This window comes from Homo sapiens, chromosome 2, assembly GCF_000001405.40.
Source record: "Homo sapiens chromosome 2, GRCh38.p14 Primary Assembly".
In the NCBI taxonomy this organism is placed as follows: domain Eukaryota; kingdom Metazoa; phylum Chordata; class Mammalia; order Primates; family Hominidae; genus Homo; species Homo sapiens.
In genome coordinates, this window is record NC_000002.12 from 45,897,828 (window position 1) to 45,920,551 (window position 22,724).

The 22,724-nt window shown below is 46.9% G+C and overlaps 1 protein-coding gene across 19 annotated transcripts in view, besides 2 other annotated features; it reads left to right on the forward strand.

Annotated features, from left to right (window-relative positions):
* PRKCE (protein kinase C epsilon) overlaps positions 1 to 22,724 on the forward strand; it is a 536,712-nt gene that overhangs the window by 246,549 nt on the left and 267,439 nt on the right. The gene's annotated exons all lie outside the window — the stretch shown is intronic.
* Positions 6,767 to 6,836: an enhancer, noted in NCBI's record as "active region_15697". NCBI's record gives its function as "activates an Ori minimal core promoter by ATAC-STARR-seq in GM12878 lymphoblastoid cells {active_cell/tissue: GM12878}" and the evidence as "EXISTENCE:reporter gene assay evidence [ECO:0000049][PMID:35858748]".
* Positions 21,564 to 21,613: a silencer, noted in NCBI's record as "silent region_11445". NCBI's record gives its function as "represses an Ori minimal core promoter by ATAC-STARR-seq in GM12878 lymphoblastoid cells {active_cell/tissue: GM12878}" and the evidence as "EXISTENCE:reporter gene assay evidence [ECO:0000049][PMID:35858748]".

Here is a 22,724-nt window from a genome sequence, read left to right on the forward strand (position 1 = left end):
ATCACAAGAAATTAAATTATTTGAGTTAAGAAGTGGCTTTTAATAATCACTGCTGACAAGGGCATGATGAGACACCCGGATAAACTGCTGGTAGGATACTGATTTGCCCAACCTCTGGTGTGATTTGGGCGATCTCTATGATAGTCATTTCAGAAGTATATACCTCTTCTTGCCCAGCAGTTTCATCTCAGTCAATAAGGACGCAGTTGGGCAAGTGCACACCAGGCACAGGCGTGGTTCCCTTTTGCAGGCCCCTCGTGATAGAGATGACTGGTAATAGTCTAATTCCCAAAAACAAAAAGCAAAGATGAAGCCACGTGGCTTTTATGACCTAGTCTCTAAAATCACAACTCATCGCTTCACCTTATTTATTCATTAGAGGCGAGTTATTAAGTCCAGCCCACACTAGGAGGGAGGGGAGTTAAGCTTCACCTCTGAAGGGAGGAGTAAGAGAGAATTTGTGGGCATAGTTTAAAACAGCCACAAACACATGAAATTATGTTCAGTCTGAGCATGTTAGTGTGATTAGGATCTACCTGCTGGAAGCTGTCTGTCTTCTCAGTGGGTAACAGAGAGCAGCAGCAAAGGGTAGGGCATTTGACTTTCACACTAGGAGATACTTGGATAACACTTAAGGAACAGAAAGCTACTCAGAGAGGACTGGGTCGCTGGAGTCTGGAAGCTTGGTCCCACCACACATTGCTTGAGGACTCTGAGTAAGTCAGATGTCCCCTGGGCTTTCCTATCTGGTTATGCTGAGGATCTAATAAACCAGTGCAATTGAAAGCACTATATAAAACATGAAGCTGGCTGTTACTATCATTACCACTACTGTTACTGTGGGAAGAGAGTACCAGTGTGGGAGATGGAGAGGGGTGGGACATAGAAATAGAGGAGTAGAGAGAGGGATTTGAATACTATTGTAACCAGATCAGGATTTCCTAGGGTGGCTCTGAGGAGGGAGTGGAGAAGGCCTGCCTTGGCTGAACTCGCATGAGGCCATGCCATGATGATCACAGGGACTTCTGTGAAGGACCCCTGTCTTGGGTCTGCCAGAACTCTAAGGCCTGGTCCATGAAAAAGGCATCAGTCAGGGTGGAATGTCCCAAAAAGAAAGCAGCCCCCAATCTTCTTAGCTAGGCCATACACCCAACTCATTGTTTCAGGACTTACATGTTCATTCCTGGCTTTGTGCCAAGCCCTGTGCTAGAGGCTGGGGAGACTGTCCAATAGGCCATAGCGCCTTCTCTTTAGAATCCAAGTCCCGCAGGACAGGAAGACTGCAGCCGTTTTGAGTGAAAGGAGACTGAGCTTTGGCTGGTGGCCTCATTCCCTAAGCCTGGATTTGACCTTCAGGAAATGTTTTCTCAGATGGCCTTATTCTCTCAGAGGTCACATAGGTCTGAAAACTTTGTCTTTGGAAATTAAACTTTTTCCCCCTTTTGATATTTATAGGCTTCTTCAGTGTTGGGCAAAGATAAAGCCAGGCCATTGCATTCAGATGATTATAATTGCCACTCCTCCTTCCTTCCAAGTCTTTTTAAAAAATTTTTTTTCTTTTTTTTTTTTTGTAGATAGAGTCTCACTCTGTTGCCCAGGCTAGAGTGCAGTGGCACAATCATGGCTCACTGCAGCCTCAATCTCCCTAGGCTCAGATGATCTCCCCACCTCAGCCTCCCAAGTGACTGGGACCACAGGTGAGCCCCACCATGTCTGGCTAATTTTTGTATTTTTTTGTAGAGACGGGGCTTTGCCATGTTGCCCAGGCTGGTCTTGAACTCCTGGGCTCATGCAATCTGCCTGCTTCGGCCTCCCAAAGTGCTGAGATTACAGGCATGAGCTACTGTGCCTAGCCCCTTCCAAGTTTTAATGGCCAACACCATAGTTCCCGAAGGCCCTGAATTCTCTCTCAGAAGTGGCTGGGCCTGTAGGTAGTGCTGTGCAGAGCATTCCTGCCTGAAGTTCCACTTGCTGTTGACCAGGGCAGTGTGGAGAAAAGCCTGACACCACCTGGGGAGAAAGCCATGCGGCAATTGTGTCTCTTTTCATTTCTTGGTTATATTTCTAGCATGAAGGGGCTCTAAATATCCAGAAATAAATCTTTCTTCTACTAGCCCGGGCTCAACTATGAAAGATAAGTTACTTTTACTTAGCTGCTTGTGACCTCTGACTATATATTGCACAGTAAACCAAGTCAGTTCAGTGTCTTACTAGATCAGCTAATCTATAACAGATTTAAGTGGGAACGGTTGCTTCGGATAAAATGCAGTTGGAAAAAACCCAGAAAATAACAAGCGTTGATGAAGATGTGGGGAAATGGAAACTGTTGTTTGTTGCTAGTGCACATGTAATGTGGTGCAGCCCCTGTGGAAAACGGCATGACATTTTCTCAGAAAATTGAATTACCATATGATCCAGCAATTCCAACACTAGGTATACATCCCAAAGAACTGGAAGCAGGAACTGATCAGATGGATATTTATACACCAGTGTTTATAACAGCATTATTCACAATAGCCAAAAGGTGGAAACAACTCGAATGTCCATCAGTAGATGAATGGATAAACAAAATGTGGTCTATACATGCAGTGGAATATTATTCACCCCCAAAAGGAGGGGAATTCTGATACATGCTACGCCATGGACAAACTTTGAAAACATTATGCTATGTAAAATAAGCCAGTCACAAAAGCACACATATTCTATGATTCCACTTACATGAGGTCCTAGAATAGTCAAGTTCATAGAGGTAGAAAGTAGGATGGTGGTTGCCATGGGCTAGAGGGAGGAGAGAATAGAGGACTATTGTTCAATGGTAGAGATTTTCAGTTTGGGAAGATGAAAATGTTCTGGAGATGGATGGTGGTAATGGTTTCACAACAGTGTGAATGTACTTAATACTAATGAATTATATACTTAAAATTTACCATTTTAACCACGTTTGTGTAATTTACCACTGTAAAAATCTTTTTAAATGTAATTGATTCCTAAATTTATGCTGCCAGGCATATGATTTTGGGATACAGGATTGAACCAGACAGAAGGCCTGACTGCAAGGAGAACTAGATTGCTTTCTGCTGAGGAGAGATGAACAATACACACTTAACAAATGAGTAAGGCAATACAGGTACTGTAAGGACTTTGGGAAAGAAACTGGGTAATTAACATGGTACAGAACCATGCCTCACATATGTGGGATGGAGATGCTTTCGCTGGGTTGGCTAGGGAAAGATTCTGATGAATTGACATTTGGGCTGAGTCCTGATGAGCAGAAATGATTTGATATCATAAACTCTACTATGTATATAGATGTTTGGAATCCATTTTACTGGAAATCTCATTGAGATTTGAGATGCAGAAAAATTGCTACAAAATCCAGAACTTAGTACAAATTGTGCTTACAAAACCGTCTGTGTTGAGTACTCCTAATCGGTTGCTTGAGGATTGAGATGGGGACAAGCAAGGCATTAGTGTTTCAGAATGTTAAAATGGTTCTTACCCAAGGCCAAACGCTCCGACCTGGTCATGTTTTCATCTAGGTAAGGTATTAGCCTGTTCACATATTTCTCATGTAATATTTTTAGGAACTAGATCCAATAAAGTTTGCCCTGGGCCTTCTTGGAAAGACTTGTGCCTTTTAGAAAAGAACCGATTTACAAAAATCAACGTATGGCTGATAGATTTTTAACTTGTCATTTAGAAGATCAGTCTATTTCACCTTGGAAACTAAGGCTATTTAAAGCTGTGAGTGTAAAGTTTGAAGGATTTTTTTATAATTCACCTGAGATGGAAAGAAATATGCTGCTGGGACGATGAAGTGTGTGCACAGCTGATTCGTACAATGTGTTTACATTTCCCATTATGTATCTTAGAGACTCTCCTGTTGTTGCTCAGATTTTTCTTTTTAACTCAGTCTTGGGGTAGAAGATTAAAGTTCCCTGAAGAATATGGAAATGCAGTTGAATTCTTGGAAGTCTGTACCGTGCTGGCCTTGGTTTGTGATGAAGCTCACACACGATGTCTGTAAAACCCTGAAGTCCAGCCAGGTGCGGTAAAAGAGTATGGTGACTTCAGAGTTTAAGAGCAGGTCATTTTGCAATAACTTTTTATAAGAGTACATGGCCATCTTTGCCTTAGGATAGTGAAGTGGTATTTTCCAGGACAGAAGAACTGAAATCATCTGAATTTCTAGGTTGTAGATCCCACAGTCCTTGGGAATTTTGACTTACAAACTAGGAAATTATTTCACCCTCATAAAAATCTCCAACCCTCTCAGGTCTTTCCCACTCCCACTTGGGTTTGAATTGGAGTGTTTGCCCAGCCATGGTGATGATTAGGAGGTGTAGCAATATGGGCCCAGAAGGCGACTTTGGGATTCATCTCTCATCTCTCGTAGTGCATGAGAGAAGCCAGCTCACGGCTCTCTTAGAAAACATCCATTGTTCCTGAAACCTGCAGTAATTGGAACATGAGTGTAATACATACAGTAAACAGAATTCTGCCTATAAGCTCTTACCAAAAGCCTGCCAATGCCCAGCCTGCCAATGCCCAGCCCATCTTGAACTAAGGGGCTGTGATCCAACAGGAGGATATTGCCCACAGGTAGCTCCAAGTCTGCCTGAGGAGCTAAGATAGAAATGAAGTAATCAGAAAATACTAGCAAAAGTCAAATCAGGATATTTGGATTAACATCCTGAGGACATGGGATGTGTGAAAAGCTGTGCTGGGGAAAAGTCAGAAATGAGGAACTGGCTGGAGTGGGCAGGAGAGGCCAGGAGGGTCAGGGAAGTTCTTGGAGCTGGAACTTGGGTAAGGTCTTCAAGAAAGACTGTGACTACACTGGTCTGGGAGCTTGGCTAGGAAGACTTCTGAAGAACCCAGCCCCCAGACCTAAAGTAGGGGCTAGAAAGAAACAGTAACTCAAGGGTTAGTTATGTTTCAAAAATATTTACATTTCTGATATCCAAAGTGTTCTCTGTAGGGTTAATAGCTATTAGAAGGGAACTGGAGTTCAGTGGGCTCTGTGGCCAAATAAGTTTGGATAGTGCTTGAGTGAGCACTGGGAGTTTCTGGACTGCAAGACTACTCAGGCCTTTGTATGCTGATGTACAGTGACTTTCCCAGATGGGCATATATAGCATACAACTTCCTGCTTATTTGATTGTGGAATTATGTATTTTCCCCCCAGGAGGATCCTACGTGAATATAGTTTAGTTCCAAATAATATAATTGAGTTGAGGAAATGCTAGTCTAAATGATTTCACTTCAGTATGTGTTTTAGTGTGAATCACTATCAATAGTCATGTTTTCAGTGGTCTCAGTGCCCGAGGGAGTTGATTGGAAGGAAGTCAGAGGGACTTCATTAAATAAGTCAGTGAATGAGGAGTCCTCCAAGGGATCCCTGCCTGGCAAGAAATACCCTCAGGCCATCTTGGTTCAGAAGTTATTCCTCCATACATTAACAGGCACATAACACAGGCTTTAAAAAATACTAATTTTGTGAATATTATGGCTACTCCATAGACAGAGCATCCCCTTTTCTTCACTTGAGATACAGGGAAGGATTTTGTGTCAATGGTATGGCGTCACCATCCCCATGGGACAGGGTTGCAGCAGCTGGGGCTGTGAGGGAAGATGAGGCCGAAAGACCCAGCAAGATTAGGGTTGCAGGTAAGATACAGGACACCGTTAAATTTGAACTTCAGATCAACTCTGTATAATATTTTGGTATAACTATGTTCCAAATATTGCATGTCACATAGTTATAAAGAATTATTTTTTCTGGAATTGAAACTTAAACAGTCATCTTGTATTTTTATCTCCTGTCTGGTAACCCCATGTAAGATGTTCAGGGAAGCCTAGACACACAGACCAGAAAGTGATGTAGAATGTACAAGGCAAGGCAGTGAGGAATGATTCCAAGTTTTAGAGAGCCCAGGTCTTCCTTCTTGGAAATGGGTTAATACATCCTCAAACCCTCTTCCCACCTCATCACTTTCATCATATCCCCCTCAGTTTGGGAGCATTTGTATATGAGAGCTTGTAGCCTGGCAGTTTTTTTTTGTTTGTTTGTTTGTTTGTTTGTTTGTTTTTTTTGGCAGGGTCTCACTCTGTTGCCCAGGCTGGAGTGCAGTGGCATGATCCCTGCTCACTGCAACCTCCCATTGCTGAGTTCAAGCGATTCTCGTGCCTCACCCTTTGGAGTAGCTGGGATTACAGGCACGCACTACCACACCCAGGTAATTTTTGTATTTTTAGTAGAGACAGGGTTTTGCTATGTTGGCCAGGCTGGTCTCGAACTCTTGATCTCAAGTGATCTGCCCTCCTCGGCCTCCCAATATGCTGGGATTAAATCAAGTGCAAGATCCAAAATGTTACTAAAAAAGCTTTTCAGCTTTTTAGATTCTCTTAAAAATGCAAACAAACAGACAAAACAGTTTCTTAGAAAGAAGCCGGTTGCGTGCGAACCGAGAAGTCTTGAAACCAAAAGAACTCCAAGTTCCCTGCCTGTGCTGAACACTATGGGGGTGGCACGTGCCCATCCAGGGCAAATCACAGGGGGAGAAGATGAGGTTTCTTAACAGTACCACCTCTCACTTTTGGTATTTGTAATGGAGAACACAGACTTATATCACATGTGAAAATGAAACAATGGTTTAAAAAGTCATGTCTCTGTGCTGGCTCTGGATGAGATGAGCCTTTTGAGAAGGCAGAGGCGTGCTCGGTGGGTTGGGCTCTGGGCATTTCTTCCCCTGCCAAGAAGCGAAATGTCTTAGCTCCATGTGCGTTGATGATTACTAACTGGCCAGGGCTTACTGTAAGTGGGCTGTGCTCGGGGATCTCACCAGGAAGAAAAAGAATCAAACTAATCCCTTTCTGGAAACCGTCTCCCCCGGTTGCCTGGGCCACCTGTCCCAGATGCGCTCCTCTTTCCCAAGACTCTTGCTGTCTCCCCGCTGCCCCAGAAGCCTGCCTTTTCTCCAGCCCTGCATGGGACATTCTCCTGATGGCAGGGACCCATGAGAGGGGGGCTGGGTGAGCCTATGTGCTGTGAATGTGTTGGTGAGCCCTGGGGGAGGAGTCAGGGGAACCTGGGGAGCTGGGGGTCCACGTGTGAGGTCCCGGGCGTGGACCATGGAGAGCTGGTAGCCTTTGTTGACCATTGTACAGACAGCGACAGGGGCTCCACATCACTTCAGCAGGCACGGTGACACACAGGACTCACTGGATGCTACGGTGTTAATCACACCACTGGTGCTTGCTGTATCCTATGGCAACAGCAGCTCCTTGTTAATTCAGAGTAATGCTGGGGCAGGCCGTAGTCCAGGCCATCTCACACTGGCTAGGGCAAACCCTGGCTCAAGAGCATCCTTGACTTATGGCCAAGCCTCAGGAACCTCTTGGCTGGCTCTCCAACATAGCCCACGCTAACCCAGTTTTGGAATCTGGTAGTGGGAAAACAGGGAAGCTCCAAAAAAAAAGTAACTCAGAGGTCAAGGTGAACCCTGAATGAGTCCATTAGATTCCACAATCAATATCCAGCTTCTAAACATTATACATATTGATGAGCTGATTGCTAGGAGACTAGTGCTGAGAGAGCTGAAATCTATTTTGCTGAGGCCAAATTGGCTGTTGATGGGCCATAGTAGACTATGGCTTTAATAATCAGGTAAAAAACACCCTGCCATCTGGTAAAACACAGCTTAAGCACATTGGAGCCCTGTGAGCTTTCCTAAAAGCTGGGCAAAGCAGGGCTTTCACCGGGCTCTGTGTATCCTGGCCCTGCAAGTCCTTTCTAAGGGGCTGAGGGCTGGCCGGGGCCCTAGCTGGGGAACCTCTGATGCTGGGAGGGTGGATGCCAGGTGGTGGAACACTGCAACTGTGATCTACAAAGATAGGATGTTTACTGAAGGGTAAATGGAGACCGGCCCATGCTCTTTATAGTCCCTGAACACACGTGTTGACCTGAACTGCTTACTCAACTCTGTACTCAGTTACAAATTGGGTGAGATGTGGCTCCCACAGTGGGAATAATTTCCTTGAAGGTCTTTACTCCAAGAGGTTCCCTGGGAGGAAGGATGTGCTTGTGCGGGGTATGGTGTCTGCCCACATGAAGGGCCGGGGTGGGCAGGCTATCTTCAGCGGTGATGCGCTTTCAACCCTCCTCCCCTACCCACATGACCCGGGTATGGAGCGTGGGTTGGTATCATGATAGCATGCTGGAATCTAACATGAATTATCCTAACTTGGTAGACCCAGATGCAGCGGCTTTCCTGCTCCCCGCAACTCTGCCTGACACATTGCTGGAGCTAGGGAGGGAAAGCCGCTAGCTGATTGCTAAGACCTAGGTGAAGAATCTCAACCACCTGGCCTACTGGGCATCTTCTGGTCATTTGGATCACCGCTGGTGTGCTGGTGCTGAGTCCAGGAGGCTGCACTGCTCACAGGGCATAGGCAGCTCTGCTTGGGGCAAGACATTGCCAAGGTGCAGAGAACAGGTTTCTGGAGGCAGGAAGTCAAAGGCAATTGGGTTAATTAAACCCCTGTGGATCTTCAGCTGCAGAATTGCTGTGAGGTACTCTGAAGACTTAAAGTTGTACATTTACTAAAGCAAAAACGGAACACCCACAGTTAAACCAAGACAAGTCCTTTCTACCTGTGGTGCTATGCATGGCTCTAATTCAAGGGCAGGGAAGAGGGGGACGGGTTTCCAGTGTCTCCCCAAACACCTTTCCTCTGGTTTTGAGCATGGGCCTGTCTGATGGGATTCCAGGGCCGTCCTTTGATCTTACCTCTGCTGGGTTAGGTTGGGGGAAGCTATCTCTGCCTTGACAGGGTGATGCTCCCCTCTACTCATGTGCTCTGTGTGGGAGGCAGCAGGAACCAAGGTCTTGATCTGTTGCTGCTGGCCCACCCTCCATCAGGCGGCAGCTCTGGGCATCAATGTGCCGGCAGCTTCTGAGGTGCCTGCTGTATGTGCCTACCCTGCAGAGGCCTGGGGCCAGCACTGATGGGAACTTCTGTTTGATACTCAGAACATCTTCAGAGATGGGTCACACCCTGCGCTTGGCTGGGACAGTGTTTCATGGGCTTCTCCTGCCGCCCTTCTTTAAGGAGCTGCATTGTGAGTGTGGGCCCAGAGAACACAGTAGGAGAGAAATGCAGTGTCTCCCCATAATCCCCTGCAGGGACCAGGCTGGATGGGGCCCCAGTTGCTCCAAAATTAGGCGTCGGAGGTCTAAGTGGTATAGACGGAAGGAAGGCGGTCAGAGGGTACACGCTCCATGTTAAATTTCTGAGGAGCAAAGGTAAAATGCCAGGATTGCTGACATGATCAGGCCAGTGATGGAAAGAAAGCCCGAGAGAAGAGAAAAATGAAGCTTTAACTATCACAGAGCATCTGACTGAGAATAAAAAGATTTTAAGTGGACTGGCAGTTGGCAAAGGAAAAAATAAATCAGCCCCCTATTGAGTGACTTTCAGGAATGAGAGGCAGGCAAATTGGATATTGAGGAAATATCTGAATGCACTGGATTGTGTCTGGGTTCAAAAGCCAAGAACATCTGCGAGTCCTGCATTGCATTTGCTGAATAGCTGTTGGGGTAACACTCCTGTGAACAAAACCAAGACGAGTTTTGTCCCTGCCACAGAGGTAACAATGGACGAAGCACACTTCTGAGGGCGTCATCGCAGGCCCTGTTCATCTCTCCGGGCAGTGGCATAGCAGGCAGTGAGCGTGTGCCCAAGCCTGCTTCCCATGTCACGTGTGTCATTTTCCCAGTGCCAATCATCGTGGTCCGCATTCTATGGACTGTTCTGTCCAGGGAGAAGGAGCATGAGCCCACATCTGCCGTGGCCACCTCTCCAAGGCCAAGTGGAGCACAGCACCACTGCGCAGCTGTAGTACCTGAGGGCGTGACTGAGCCAATGGCCACCTCTGGGTCTCTGCTGCCTCCTTCTGAAGTGGGTGTCATAGCAGTCCCTACTTCACAGCCTCACCGTGCCCATCCTCTGAGCTAATAATACTTGCCGAGTGCTGAGAACAGTGCCTGGTATCTATGTTAAACAAAACGCCTTGTCCAGAATGATCTCCCATGCCCCTCCCAGTTTTCACCTTCTAGGATTCTGTCCGACTTCATCCTTTTCAAATCTCTGAAGTGGGGAGGGCGATTATCACCCCATTTTTGAGACGGGGGAAGCAGAAGACCTTTGAGGCATTTTCCAGAGTGTGAGTGGCTGGTTAATGGATGGGCAGGAATGGAAGTCAAGACTCCAGGCCCTTGATCATACCGCTGGCCAAGGGGAAGGAATTATATCTCAGTCATGTGGCCCCTCACTGTGCCTCTGTTTACCCTTTACCTCCCTCAGTTTCCCAGTCTCATCATTGGCCCTATGGATCTGCTTCTCAGGCACAGGTTGAAGGGAAAGAAACATGATAAAATAACTCCTAGGCACTGGGAAGAAGCAAGTGCTGAAGAGGCAGCTGCAGGCATTGCAGGCCAGGCAATACACAGCCAGAAACGGACCAGGAGCAAGGACCCTAGGGTTTAGAGACTTGAAGACCCAGTCTGCTCCCAAACGCTAAGTAAGTGTGACTGGAAGCGACTGCTCCACTCTCTCTCGCCCATTGGACAAAGGATTAGCCAATGGGAAAGATGCATTGTGTTAGGATGCAGATTCTGACTCAGTGGGTGACCATGTGGCTGTGGCTTCTGCATTTCAAACCAGCTCCTGGTCTTGCCGATGCTGCTGTTTGTGGACCTCATCTGAGGGGCAAGGGTCCTGAGGATGCACTGGTATAGCCTGGATATCTTTCCCATCAAAAGCCATGACTCATTGTGAATGAGTCCTGTGTTCTTCTCACACTCAGGTTTCTCAACACTAGCTGGATAGGAAAGACTGGAAGAGGCCGATAAGGTCCCACTGGGGCAATGTGGAGGATCTCTCCGGGAGAATGTTGCCTCAGTTTCCCTGTGTGAGAAGGATTATCCTCCAGGGTGGGCAAAACCACAGAGATGGGGGCAGACAGGCTGTACAGTGGGCAGATTCATACCCCTCTCCTTCCTCTGAGCCCCGCAGTCCTCTATTCTGGCAGCTTTCTACTTAGCACTCTGATTTCTATGTCTAATCGATTGGCCACTCTTTGCGCCACATAAAAATGCGTGACTGAGCCTTGACCTTGAAGTCAGCCAGTCATGGAGACTTCTTTCACCATCTGTTTTTGAACTTAGAAAAAGATTGGCAGAGAAAAACACCAAACAGTTTTGCTAAAATAACGTCATTAGTCATGCAACTTATTTGCATTAAATCCTGCATTTATTAGTAATAGTACCACTTCCTTCAATTCGCAGATTATATTGTCTCACAAAGCACTTTCATGGTCATTATTTTATTTGATATTCAAAATGCCATTATAAGATGAACGAAGATTATTGTCCCCAAGAAAGGAAGGCTCCAATTGGTTTATGAGTTTGCCAAGTATTACGAGGTGGTAGGCACCAGAAGGGGGATGTGGATGTTCATTTTCTCATTAGAGCTGATATTAACAATTCAACAGACTTGCCAGTACTGTGCATCATAATCTCCCCCATCCCAAACATTATGATTCCATTCCAAGGGAAGTTGTTAAGGGGTGGCCAGCCTATAGCTAAGCTAAGACTATTCCTGAAATGATATTGGTTGTATTGTTCCTAAAGGGCATAGTTGAGAATGCTCTGAAATTTAGAAAGTTGTTAAAATAGCAAATAAACAAAGCTAACAAAAATCAGCGAAAATAAAACCTTAGGGAACAAGCTAGCAAGTGTGTTCTAAATTATTCTTCCTCATCCCCTACCCCCATTCTGTGCTTAGTTTTCCTGGTGAGGCTACCGTTTCACAGTGAGGCATTTAGAAAAGCCTTCCAGGCAGGAGTCAGTGAGTCAGTGCTTCCTGGACTTGTTCCTAGAACATCCCTTCCAGGTCACCATACCTGTCTCTTTCCTTCAGGCAGGTATTCCAAGCCACTGCCCATGACAAGGTGGGGCAGACACGTGGCCAACAACTTAATTTTCCCCAAACCTTATTTAGGCTCTAGTTCCACATGCTGCTTGGGGTTGCCATGGAGACAGTCTACTGCCTTCTCCCTCAAATAGAACCGGAATCACACTTCTGCTTATGTGCAAGGTAGAAGTGACAGAGTGGCATTTCTGTAAATGGCCCTTTCCAGTAAACTCACCGCCCCCCCCCAGCCAAGTGCCCAGGAATGTGTGACCAGGATACCTCAACTCATGCTACAAGGTACTTAATGCAAAATAAGACACCTAATAACAATGACGTGTAGTTCCATTTGTAGTTAATGATTCTAAAAATGCCACTGCTAAATTGCTGTTAAGAAAAACATCCCATGTAACTGGAGCCTCACCTTAAGTGTCTCTGAAGGCCATTGTCACTGTGAACTGGTTGTTCTTGAGTCCCAGTGGCTGTGTGCAGAGTTCCAGACTAGGAGTAACTGGGAAATGGAAGGAGGAGGTGGTGAGGAATCTAAAGGGTGCTAAGACAGGAAGCCCACCCTGAAAACACTTGCCATCCAGTGGGGAGACATCCGTGTCCACAATCATGTTTTCTCTAGCCTAGTACTACTTTGGGGGTGTGAGTTGCACGATAGAAAGGATAACCTGGGAGCACCTTACATGGGAGTAGGCTAGGGTTCAAACCCTAACTTCTCTGGTTATTAGCTCAGGGCCTTTGGGTGAGGTTCTTGGTATCTCCAAGCCTTGGTTACTTCACACTTCCTAAACAAGTTTGTTATGATCATTAAATGAAGTGTTATCTGTTGGATAGCCCAGCTCAGTGTCTCACAGCAGGGGCTCAGTAAACACTAGATTCTTTCCTTAACTATTTCCTACCTATTGGAGGTAGGCGGGTCCATGGTGAACAGGGAGGAAAGATGGTTCCAAGGGTGGGAGAGAACCTAGCCAAGGTTAGGGGGCTAGAGCTGCAGGCCTGGCAGGGGGCGGTGAGCAGTCCAGGATGTGCTGGACAGAGTCCCACGCTGGTCCTGCTGTGCAGCAAACCGTACAACTTGAAGGCCTGGCAAGCAGAGCGTGCCGTGGCAAGTTTGCTGAGTGTCTTGGGTGTGTAGGAGGAGAATGGGAGACTGGGGAATGGAAAACAGGGCAAGAAGGGATGCTGATCACAAAGTGAAAAATGGGAACCACTACTCACGGGCTTTTTCAATGGAGAGGTGGACTGATTGCATTGAGCAGCTGCCATGTGCAGGCCTTTGTTTCAAACCCTAGCAAAGGCTTGAGCATTCTGCATTTACCCAGGAGATACTGACCACTGGCATTTTCAGCCTAAAGGGTTTTTCTTTACAAATTTCCAGGGGAAATGCTTATCAATCAACATTAGGAAGAGCTGGGTTTATTTTTAAGTTGTTTTTTCCCACTGACACCTGTCTAGCCCCACTGTTGCACAACCTTCCCTACCTTTCTTCTCAGGAAAGGGAATCACTGAGAATACAAACCAGGGCTAGACAGCATGTGCACTGCACTGGACGGGAGTGTTTCACCTGCTCAGAAATGCTGCATTATGCATGCAGAGCATTGCAGAGTCTCTTGAGGGTCCAAAAATCCCAGATGTGGCTTGAAGCAGCTGTGACTATTTCCAGGAGGCCATACCTCTGGGCTAAACATGGTCCCTTTCCCCTGAACCCTAGAGACCAGATGAGAAATTGCTTTGAAAGAATATTCTTTGTTAGTCCTGGATGTAGGCAGAGGGATGGGCTGATTGTATGACTCCTCAGTCTCTGTCAGTCCATTTTCTATGACTTTAGGAATGCCCCAGACCTGAAGATAACTGAGTTGGTCATGTTACCTGGCTTCAAGGAAGCTGGAGGGATTGCCCCACAACGGTCACAGGTGACAAAGGTGAGCTGGGCCTGCATTTAGTTCTATACTGCCACTTGCTAGCCTTGTTATTTTACCTTCTCTAGGCTTTCATTTTTTGATAAGGGCAGATAACTTATGATTTCCATACCTACCTGGTAGGATTGTTATGAGAATTAATGGCGATAGTGTGTGTCCTGGTCTCTGGTAAATCTTAACAGGTGCTGGTATGTCAGCCGCTGCTGCTTGTTGTGGTGGTGGTATTTTATTGTGTTGTTGTTGTCTTTATTTAGAATGAAAAGCTAGAAAAAAGTTTTCATTTTTTTCTAGCTTGGGAGAATGTTTCCCACGCATTCTGGTAGTGGAGTTTCAGGGTCTTTCTCTTTCCCCAGTTCTTCTAGTGTAGCAGTCATAGCTACGCCCCTCTCATAGAACTGGGGAGAGAAGAACAATACCAGGAACGATGGCAACCATTTGTTTTTCAAAGTACTTTGATAATCCCTGGAGTCTCTACAACACTCTGAAGATAGGCAGGGAAGGTGTTATCCCGTGACAGAGTTGAGATAAGGGGTCAATGTCCAGCCTGGAGCTAAATGGCTAATCAGTAATAGATAGAGGGCCCCAGGATCCACATCTCTGCAGCTGCAGGGCCTGGGCACTGCCCTGGTGGTGAGCTCCAGGTACAAGGAGGGTGAGAGAGGAAGAAAAGCACACGTTGCCATCATCCCGGGCCTGCTTAGCCTTCACTTGGTGGAGAAGGAGTGCTTTGCCTTGGGAGTGGGTGGGGGCTGGGGTTCTGCCACACACTGCAGGGCCTTGATTGGGGAAGGCTGAGGCTCACAGCTGGAGCCTTCATCAGAGGAGAAGGCTTCTGACAGCTCCTGGCAGTTGAAATAATTCAGGAGGCTGGAAGGAGCCAACCTGGGGACCATGAGAGACAGGTTCTGCAGGTGGCATGGAGTGGACTTAGGAACGCACCTTAGAAGCGCATCTCACCGAAAATCTGCACTGGAGCAGCCAGGTAGAACTTGGAGGCTTCTAACACAGTAGATTACAAAGGAAAAGCTTTTGAGAGAAGGGTCTGTCATTTGGAAATGACAAAATAGACTTAGTTCCAGGGTCTGGGGCCACATGTACATTTGCAGTCAGCTGCCTAGGAGCCTCCTGGGGACCACCATCCAACCCACGCCAGAGCCCAGAATGAAGTCCTGATGGAGTTCAAGCCCATACCTTATGGGGCCATTCTGAGGACACAGTGGTTCCATAGTGACATTATCAAAAATATCTGGAACTGGTGGTCAGGAGTCACTCAGTGAGGGAGCTAAACAAGTACCACCATCAAGTGTATCTTCTCTAAGCTCCAGACTTATGGAAAAGTAAGGTGGTGTCTTGACTACTTTGTGTGAGAAGGTGCTGTCAGAGAGCAGGAGATTCTCCTCAGAGTGTTTTGACTAGACAAGCTCTTTTCTTTTGAGACAGGGTCTCGCTTTGTTACCCAGGCTGGAGTGCAGTGGTGCAATCACATTTAACTGCAGCCTCAAACTCCCTGGGCTCAGATGATCCTCCCACCTCAGCCTTCTGAGTAGCTGGGACCACAGGCGAGCACCATCATGCCAGACTAATTTTTGTATCTTTTTTGTAGAGACAAGGTTTTGCCATGTTGTCCAGGCTGGTCTTGAACTCCTGGGCTCAAGCGATCCACCCATCTTGGCCTCCCAGAGTGCTTGGATTATAGGCGTGAGCCACCATGCCCAGCCAGCAAGAGCGCTTGGCTCCTGGTACAGACTCCCTGCTCAGTGGAGCTCTGGGTTCTGGTGTTCCTTGGATTAAATGACTCTTAGTTCCGGTATCTGGAAAAGGGGCCTCATGTACCTTTGAGAGCTGCTTCAAGTCTTGTCGCCTGGCCTGATCTCTCCAACCCTAGTTTTTGGGGCTTCTGGCTGAAAGACCTTCTTCAGCATTAGTAAACCAGTTTTTCTGTCTATCCATGCATATGTTCACTCACTCACTTGAACAAATAATAAATTGAGTGCATTCCAAGGCTGCTGGGAATATAACCTGCAGACATTGTCCCTGCCATCCAGGTGTCTAGTGTGTAGTCAGGGAGAGGAGCCAGTGTATAAACAGACACATTACAGCCCAACACAATGTGACCTCTCATCCACGATGATTCTAGGACTTCCCTTGTAAGGAATCCTGCCCAAACTGGAGTGTCTGTTCCTCAAGTCTTAGAAAAACAAGAATTTGTACCCTCCTTTCTTTTTATCCTCGATGCAGAATTTACTGAGATTTTATTTGTGGCCTACAAACTTAATGGAGCCTAGTACTTTTCTTCCTGGATTGAAACCGTTAACAATGTCAAGAGCTCTTAGCAGATACAGCTCTACATGTGTAGCAAAGTGTGATTCACATTCTAGTCTTCACATAACTTACTGATGACTTAAATTACGTGGAAGCATACAATATCATGCTAGGTGCTATGAAGGCATTAAGGAGTTTATAATTAGGAAGATAAATTCATATGTGAATTCAAAAAAATAACAATGCAAGCCAGGTGGAGGGTAAATGCTGGAGTGTCTAGAATAGCTAATAAGATGGGTGGACGATATGTCCAGTGACTGAATATGGAACACCAGAGGCAGGGATGAGCAAGCTCTGTTTGGACATGTGGACTTGGATGTGTCTCAACGATGTGTGGTCCAGAGGGCTGGTGGCTCCCTGGGTCTGGAGCTCAGGAGTGTTCTGTGCTGTAGATCTAGATTTAGGAATTGTGGCATGTAGGTAGCCATGGTGGTCCAGGAAGTGTGCGAGACTGATAACTATTTCTTTGCTCTTTGGTTTGGGAACCAGTCCCTACCTCCATGTTTTCTCTCACTCCACCAGGCTGATCGTCCCCCATCTGCTTCCTAGGTTCCTCTTCCTCTCCCTGGACCATGCATTTAGAGCTTCCTCAGCAGGTTCTTTCTACACATGTTAAAGTCAATGAACCATAATCTGATTAGAAATTTTAAAGAGTCCATAAAGTCTTTCATTGATGGCAAGTTAATCAAGTGTTGCTTTTATTGGTTTGGCATACATAGGAAGTAATGAATGCCATGTATAGCTATGTAGGAGCACTCAGCTGTTGGGGAGTGATCCATGCATACGTAATAGGGAACTCTTTCTTGGTTTTCCCACAAAACCCCACTTTCTCTTACTATCAACTGCTGAAAAAAAGTATCCTTTTGCTAGAACTTTCCATATTGTTTTGCTTGTTTGTTTGTTTGAGACAAGAGTCTCTGTCACCTAGGCTAGAGTGCAGTGGCATGACCTCAGCTCACTGCCACCTCCACCTTCTGGGTTCAAGCGAGCACCTCCAGCTAATCTTTGTATTTTTAGTATAGTTGGGGTTTCACCATGTTGGCCAGGCTGGTCTCGAACTCCTTACCTCAGGTGATCTGCCCACCTTGGCCTCCCAAAGTGCTGGGATTACAGGCGTGAGCCACTGTACCCAGACTCCATATTGTATTTTAGACTGACATTTTTGTTCTTTCCACCTGATGATTTTTTGCAAAATAATATAATGAAGGAGTAAGGCATGCTGTTCTTTCAGCCCAATGAGTCTCTATTTTTTTGTTTCATTTTTTAGTAATTAATAGATTTAAGTATTTAATGCATCTGTTCTTAGCTTCTAAGCACATCTTTAAGATCGATGGCATGAACTTCCAAGAACAAAGGGTTTAAATATTAATAGGATTGGGAATCAGCTGTTTTGTATGAGTATTTTAGAATTTCCCAAAGCTCCAGTGAACCCTAAAGAATTCAGCCTCCTTATCTTTAGAGATTTAGGTTATTTTGGGTCTTTCCAGGAGCAAGTTGTTTCTACCTGAGGAGTAGACAAAGGACAAATGAAAGGTCCTGAGGCCTCCTAGAGGCAGATGTAGATTTTCAAGTATCTCAAAGTTCTATCAAATTCGTATGATCTTTTTCTCATTTGCCTTTAGCTCAGCAGAGCGTGGTGCTGGTGGAGCTCAGTCGCGGCCTTGTTTTGGTGCTGGTTGATTCACATGTGCCCTTGGTCTCATGTACAGACATGACCTGACTAGAAGTCACTCAGTAACTGGCTGGACCAGGATGAGAGAAGCCAGTTCTTAGTTCCCAAGCATCCTCCTCTCCCACTGTCCCACAAGTGATACACACCTGCAGTCACAGGTGGATTTAAGGAACCTGAGAGAGAAATCGGGGTATCTCTTCCACTGAGATGAATTATGCAGCATCTACATCCCCTCAACACAGACTTGTAATCAGGGAGAAAAATTTGTCTGGGTAGGGAGCCTTGAAAATTGGTGGTAGAACTTGGAGAGTTTAGGATGGCTCTAGGGCTCAAGAGAGAGATGGTGGTATGAGGAAGGAACTCTAAGGACATTGAGAAGGGTGTGGTGTCTGATGGATTTCATGTTAGTCTTTTCTATCTCTACTTACTTTTCCTTTAAAATTTTCTAAAATGTAGTATCTTTATGACAGGAGAGAGAACTAGTTCTTCTATATTCTTCTATATGCACTGAGAAATTTTTTTTTTTTTTTTTTAGACAGGGTCTAGATCTATCATGCAGGCTGGAGTGTAGTGGTGTGAACACGGCTCACTGCAGTCCTGACCTCCTTATCTCAAGCAATCATCCCATCTCAGCTTCTCAAGTAGCTGGGACTAGAGGTGTGCACCACCACACCTGGCTAATTAAAAAAAAAATTTCATGTGTGGAGATGGGGGTCTCACTGTTGCCCAGGATGGTCTTTTAATTCCTGAGCTCAAGTGATCCTCCTGCTTTGATCTTTCAAAGTGCTGTGATTGTAGGTGTGAGCCATTGCACCCAATGAAATAAGCCATTTCTTATTTGGCAAAGTCTGCAGATCATCTTTTATTTGAGCAATTTTGACATCCTCTCAAATTGAGTATTTCTTTAGCCAATCGGGAATCTTGGGTGTTCTGATCTCTTAGATTACAGTACATTTAAAAGAGCATACAGTCTAAACACAATAAAGCCCGATTACAGAGTGTCTTGTTCATACATTTACATCCTACTGTGTCCGGAATTGGTGGGTTCTTGATCTCACTGACTTCAAGAATGAAGCCGTGGACCCTCACGCTGAGTGTTACAGCTCTTAAGGTGACGCGTCTGGAGTTTGTTCCTTCTGATGTTTGGATGTGTTCGGAGTTTCTTCTTTCTGGTGGGTTCGTGGTCTCACCGGCTCAGGAGTGAAACTGCAGACCTTCCCAGTGTTACAGCTCATAAAGGCAGTGTGGACCCAAAGAGTGAGCAGCAGCAGGATTTATTGCAAAGAGTGAAAGAACAAACCTTCCACAGTGTGGAAGGGGACTCCAGCAGGTTACCACTGCTGGCTCAGGCAGCCTGCTTTTATTCTCTTATCTGGCCCCACCCACATCCTGCTGATTGGTAGAGCCCAGTGGTCTGTTTTGACAGGGCGCTGATTGGTGCGTTTACAATCCCTGAGCTAGACACAAAAGTTTTCCACGTCCCCACCAGATTAGCTAGATACAGAGTGTCCACACAAAGGTTCTCCAAGTCGCCGCCAGAGTAGCTAGATACAGAGTGTCAATTGGTGCGTTCACAAACCCTGAGCTAGACATAGGGTGCTGATTGGTGTGTTTACAAACCTTGAGCTAGATACAGAGTGCCAATTGGTGTATTTACAATCCCTGAGCTAGACATTAAGGTTCTGCAAGGCCCCACCAGAGTAGCTAGATACAGAGTGTCAATTGGTGCATTCACAAACCCTGAGCTAGACACAGGGTGCTGATTGGTGTGTTTACAAACCTTGAGCTAGATACAGAGTGCCGATTGGTGTATTTACAATTCCTGAGCTAGACATAAAGGTTCTCCACGTCCCCACCAGATTCAGGAGCCCAGCTGGCTTCACCCAGTGGATCCCGCACTGGGGCTGCAGGTGGAGCTGCCTGCCAGTCCCGTGCCATGCGCCCGCACTCCTCAGCCCTTGGGTGGTCGATGGGACTGGGCGCCGTGGAGCAGGGGGCGGCGCTCGTCGGGGAGGCTCCGGCCGCACGGGAGCTCACGGTCGGGGGTGGGAGGCTCAGGCATGGTGGGCTGCAGGTCCCGAGCCCTGCCCCGCGGGAAGGCAGCTAAGGCCCGGCGAGAAATCGAGCGCAGCGCCCGTGGGCCGGCACTGCTGGGGGACCCAGTACACCCTCCGCAGCCGCTGGCCCGGTGCTAAGCCCCTCATTGCCCAGGGCTGGCAGGGCCGGCGGCCGGCTGCTCCGAGTGCGGGGCCCGCCAAGCCCACGCCCACCCGGAACTCTAGCTGGCCCGCTAGCGCCGCGCGCAGCCCCGGTTCCCGCTGGCGCCTCTCCCTCCACACCTCCCTGCAACCTGAGGGAGCCGGCTCCGGCCTTGGCCAGCCCAGAAAGGGGCTCCCAGAGTGCAGTGGTGGGCTGAAGGGCTCCTCAAATGCCGCCAGAGTGGGAGCCCAGGCAGAGGAGGCACCGAGAGCGAGCGAGGGCTGTGAGGACTGCCAGCACGCTGTCACCTCTCGCTACTGCAGGTAAAATCTCATGTGCTGGCTGTGGAAGGGGCAGGTGGAGCCTTTCGTTCCCCAGCAAGGGTGGGGACTGTGTAATGTAGGCTTTAGCTTTCTCTTGTCTAGTCTGTGGCACAGCTTTAACTTTTTTTCCCAAAATTGTAACTCATTTATTTTTAGTTAAACTCTGGTCATTGTACCAAACAATTTTATCAACAATACATATTTAAGATTCAGCCTCTATTCAACTAGCATTTTGCAAGGACTGTGGAGGAGAACAGGGCCAGAACAGAAAAGGGTTCGGACAATAAATGCAATTGGAGGAGGAAAAAATAATAACCACATAAACCATTTTTCGGTTTCTATAGTTACTTTAAAACCCGATGATTCAAATTCAACCCAAATCTCTGAAGCTTTATGGTTGTATATAGTAAACCAATCTGTCCACCAGCTGGAAACTAAAGGCACATGTAGGAATGACTTTTCATGGGCCAGAGTCCTCTGCAGTGGGCCTGGGGCTGAGGCACCGCAGGGCTGAGGTTGGCGAGGGGGGGAATGGGAAGGGAGGGGAGAAGTGCAGGTCTTCAGAGCATATCCTACTAGTTTGTATTTTGCAGAAGCCCAAAGGACAGGCCGTATTATTGAATGTTGCAGAGGTTGGAGGGTCTCACAGCTCCTTTCACCATCTAAGCTGTGTTCATTCCCCTTTGCTGTCACACACCCCTCCTCTTCAGGGAGAGCTGGCATGATATGGCAGTGGCCAGGGTATGCCAGCTGGGATGGACAGCCACCTGGAGAGGGTGTCAGAACAGTTAGGCTGGAGGCCAGCCCACGTGGGCTGGATAAGCTGCATGTAAATCAAGGTTGTTATATGGAAACAGCTGGTTCCACTTGAATTTAATTGAAAACAAGACATCAGGGGTAGGGAGATGAGTAGGGGTTGTGGGGTAGACAGAGGGGAAAAGAGCTGATGAATTGGGCTCTTGGGCTGATGCCGTACGGACAACCTGTCAAGGGAAAGAACACAGCCAGTGAGTGAGGATCACTGTGGAGCTTGGAAACCAGGTGTGGGAAGGCTGGGCTGGGCCGTGGACTCTGCAGGCTTGGAGACGGACACCTGCTTCCTTTCCAAAACATGTGATCTCTAAATTACTTGGCTAGAGAAACCACAGGAAAGCCAGCGTAGGCAGTGGTATTTGCCTTCTGCCCTCTGGCCTCTCTTATTTGCTGCCTTTCCACTGAAGTGTGTTTATGCCTTGTCTTGGGGTTGAATTTGGGGAACTTCCTCCTGCACCCCTCTTCCAGTGTGAACTGGCCTCCAAGGGAGGGCCACGGCACATTCTGTGCTGTTTGGCTCACATTTAGAGAACACCAATAGGATCAGGGGCGGGGAAGGCCACCAGGAGACAAAGGCCTCTGAAGAGGACATCCCAACAGATCGTGGATCATTGTCATGAATTCCCCCCAACCTTTTCTTGGAAAATCTAGGCCTTCTTTGGCTCTAGGGCTGGGGCTAGAGAAAAACACAGGAAATAACCTACAGGCATGTACCATGGCATGTGTGGAGTCCCTTCTGCTGAGTGAAAGCAGAAGGAAATAAACATCAGAACCTCCCCAAAGGGGAAAATACATGTGCAGGACATTCTCATGGCTCAGGCGAACACTAGTGCCAGTGTTCACTAGGTGTGGAAAAGGGTGCGTGAGTGGGTGAAGGCAGACACTGGGACAGTGGGAGAGGAGGAGGCTTGAGACCTGAGAACTGGCTTCTTTCATCCTGGCCCTGCCAGTTACTGAGTAACTGCTACTCAGGCCATGTCTGTACATGTATTTGTGGCCCCAGCCGGTTCAGACACACCCATCACCCTAGATCTCCAGAACTAGTAGCCCCACTGATAGGAACAACTCTTCAATGTTTAGGCAGTCTGAATAATCTCTCAATCAAACTCCTGTTTGATAAGAGAAAAATGTATCTTAAGGTCTAATGGAGGAAAACAAAGTGACATCAGCTTGAGGATAAACTTTGGAGGATGATGGAGTGCACACTGAGGCCTCAGCTTGGGGCTTTCTAACTGCCCACTCAGTAACCCAATACAGGACTATAAAATGGTGCAGACGCTTTGGAAGACTCTCTGACAGTTCTTCAAACGATTAAACGTGGTTGCCATATAACCCAGCAGTTCCACTCCTAGGTATGATCCCAATAGGAATGAAAACACAGAGACCTGTGCATGCATATTCATAGCAGTGTTATTCATAATAGCCAAAAAGCAGAAGCAACCCAAATGCCGTCAACTGCTGAATGGATAAATAAAATGTGAAATATCCATG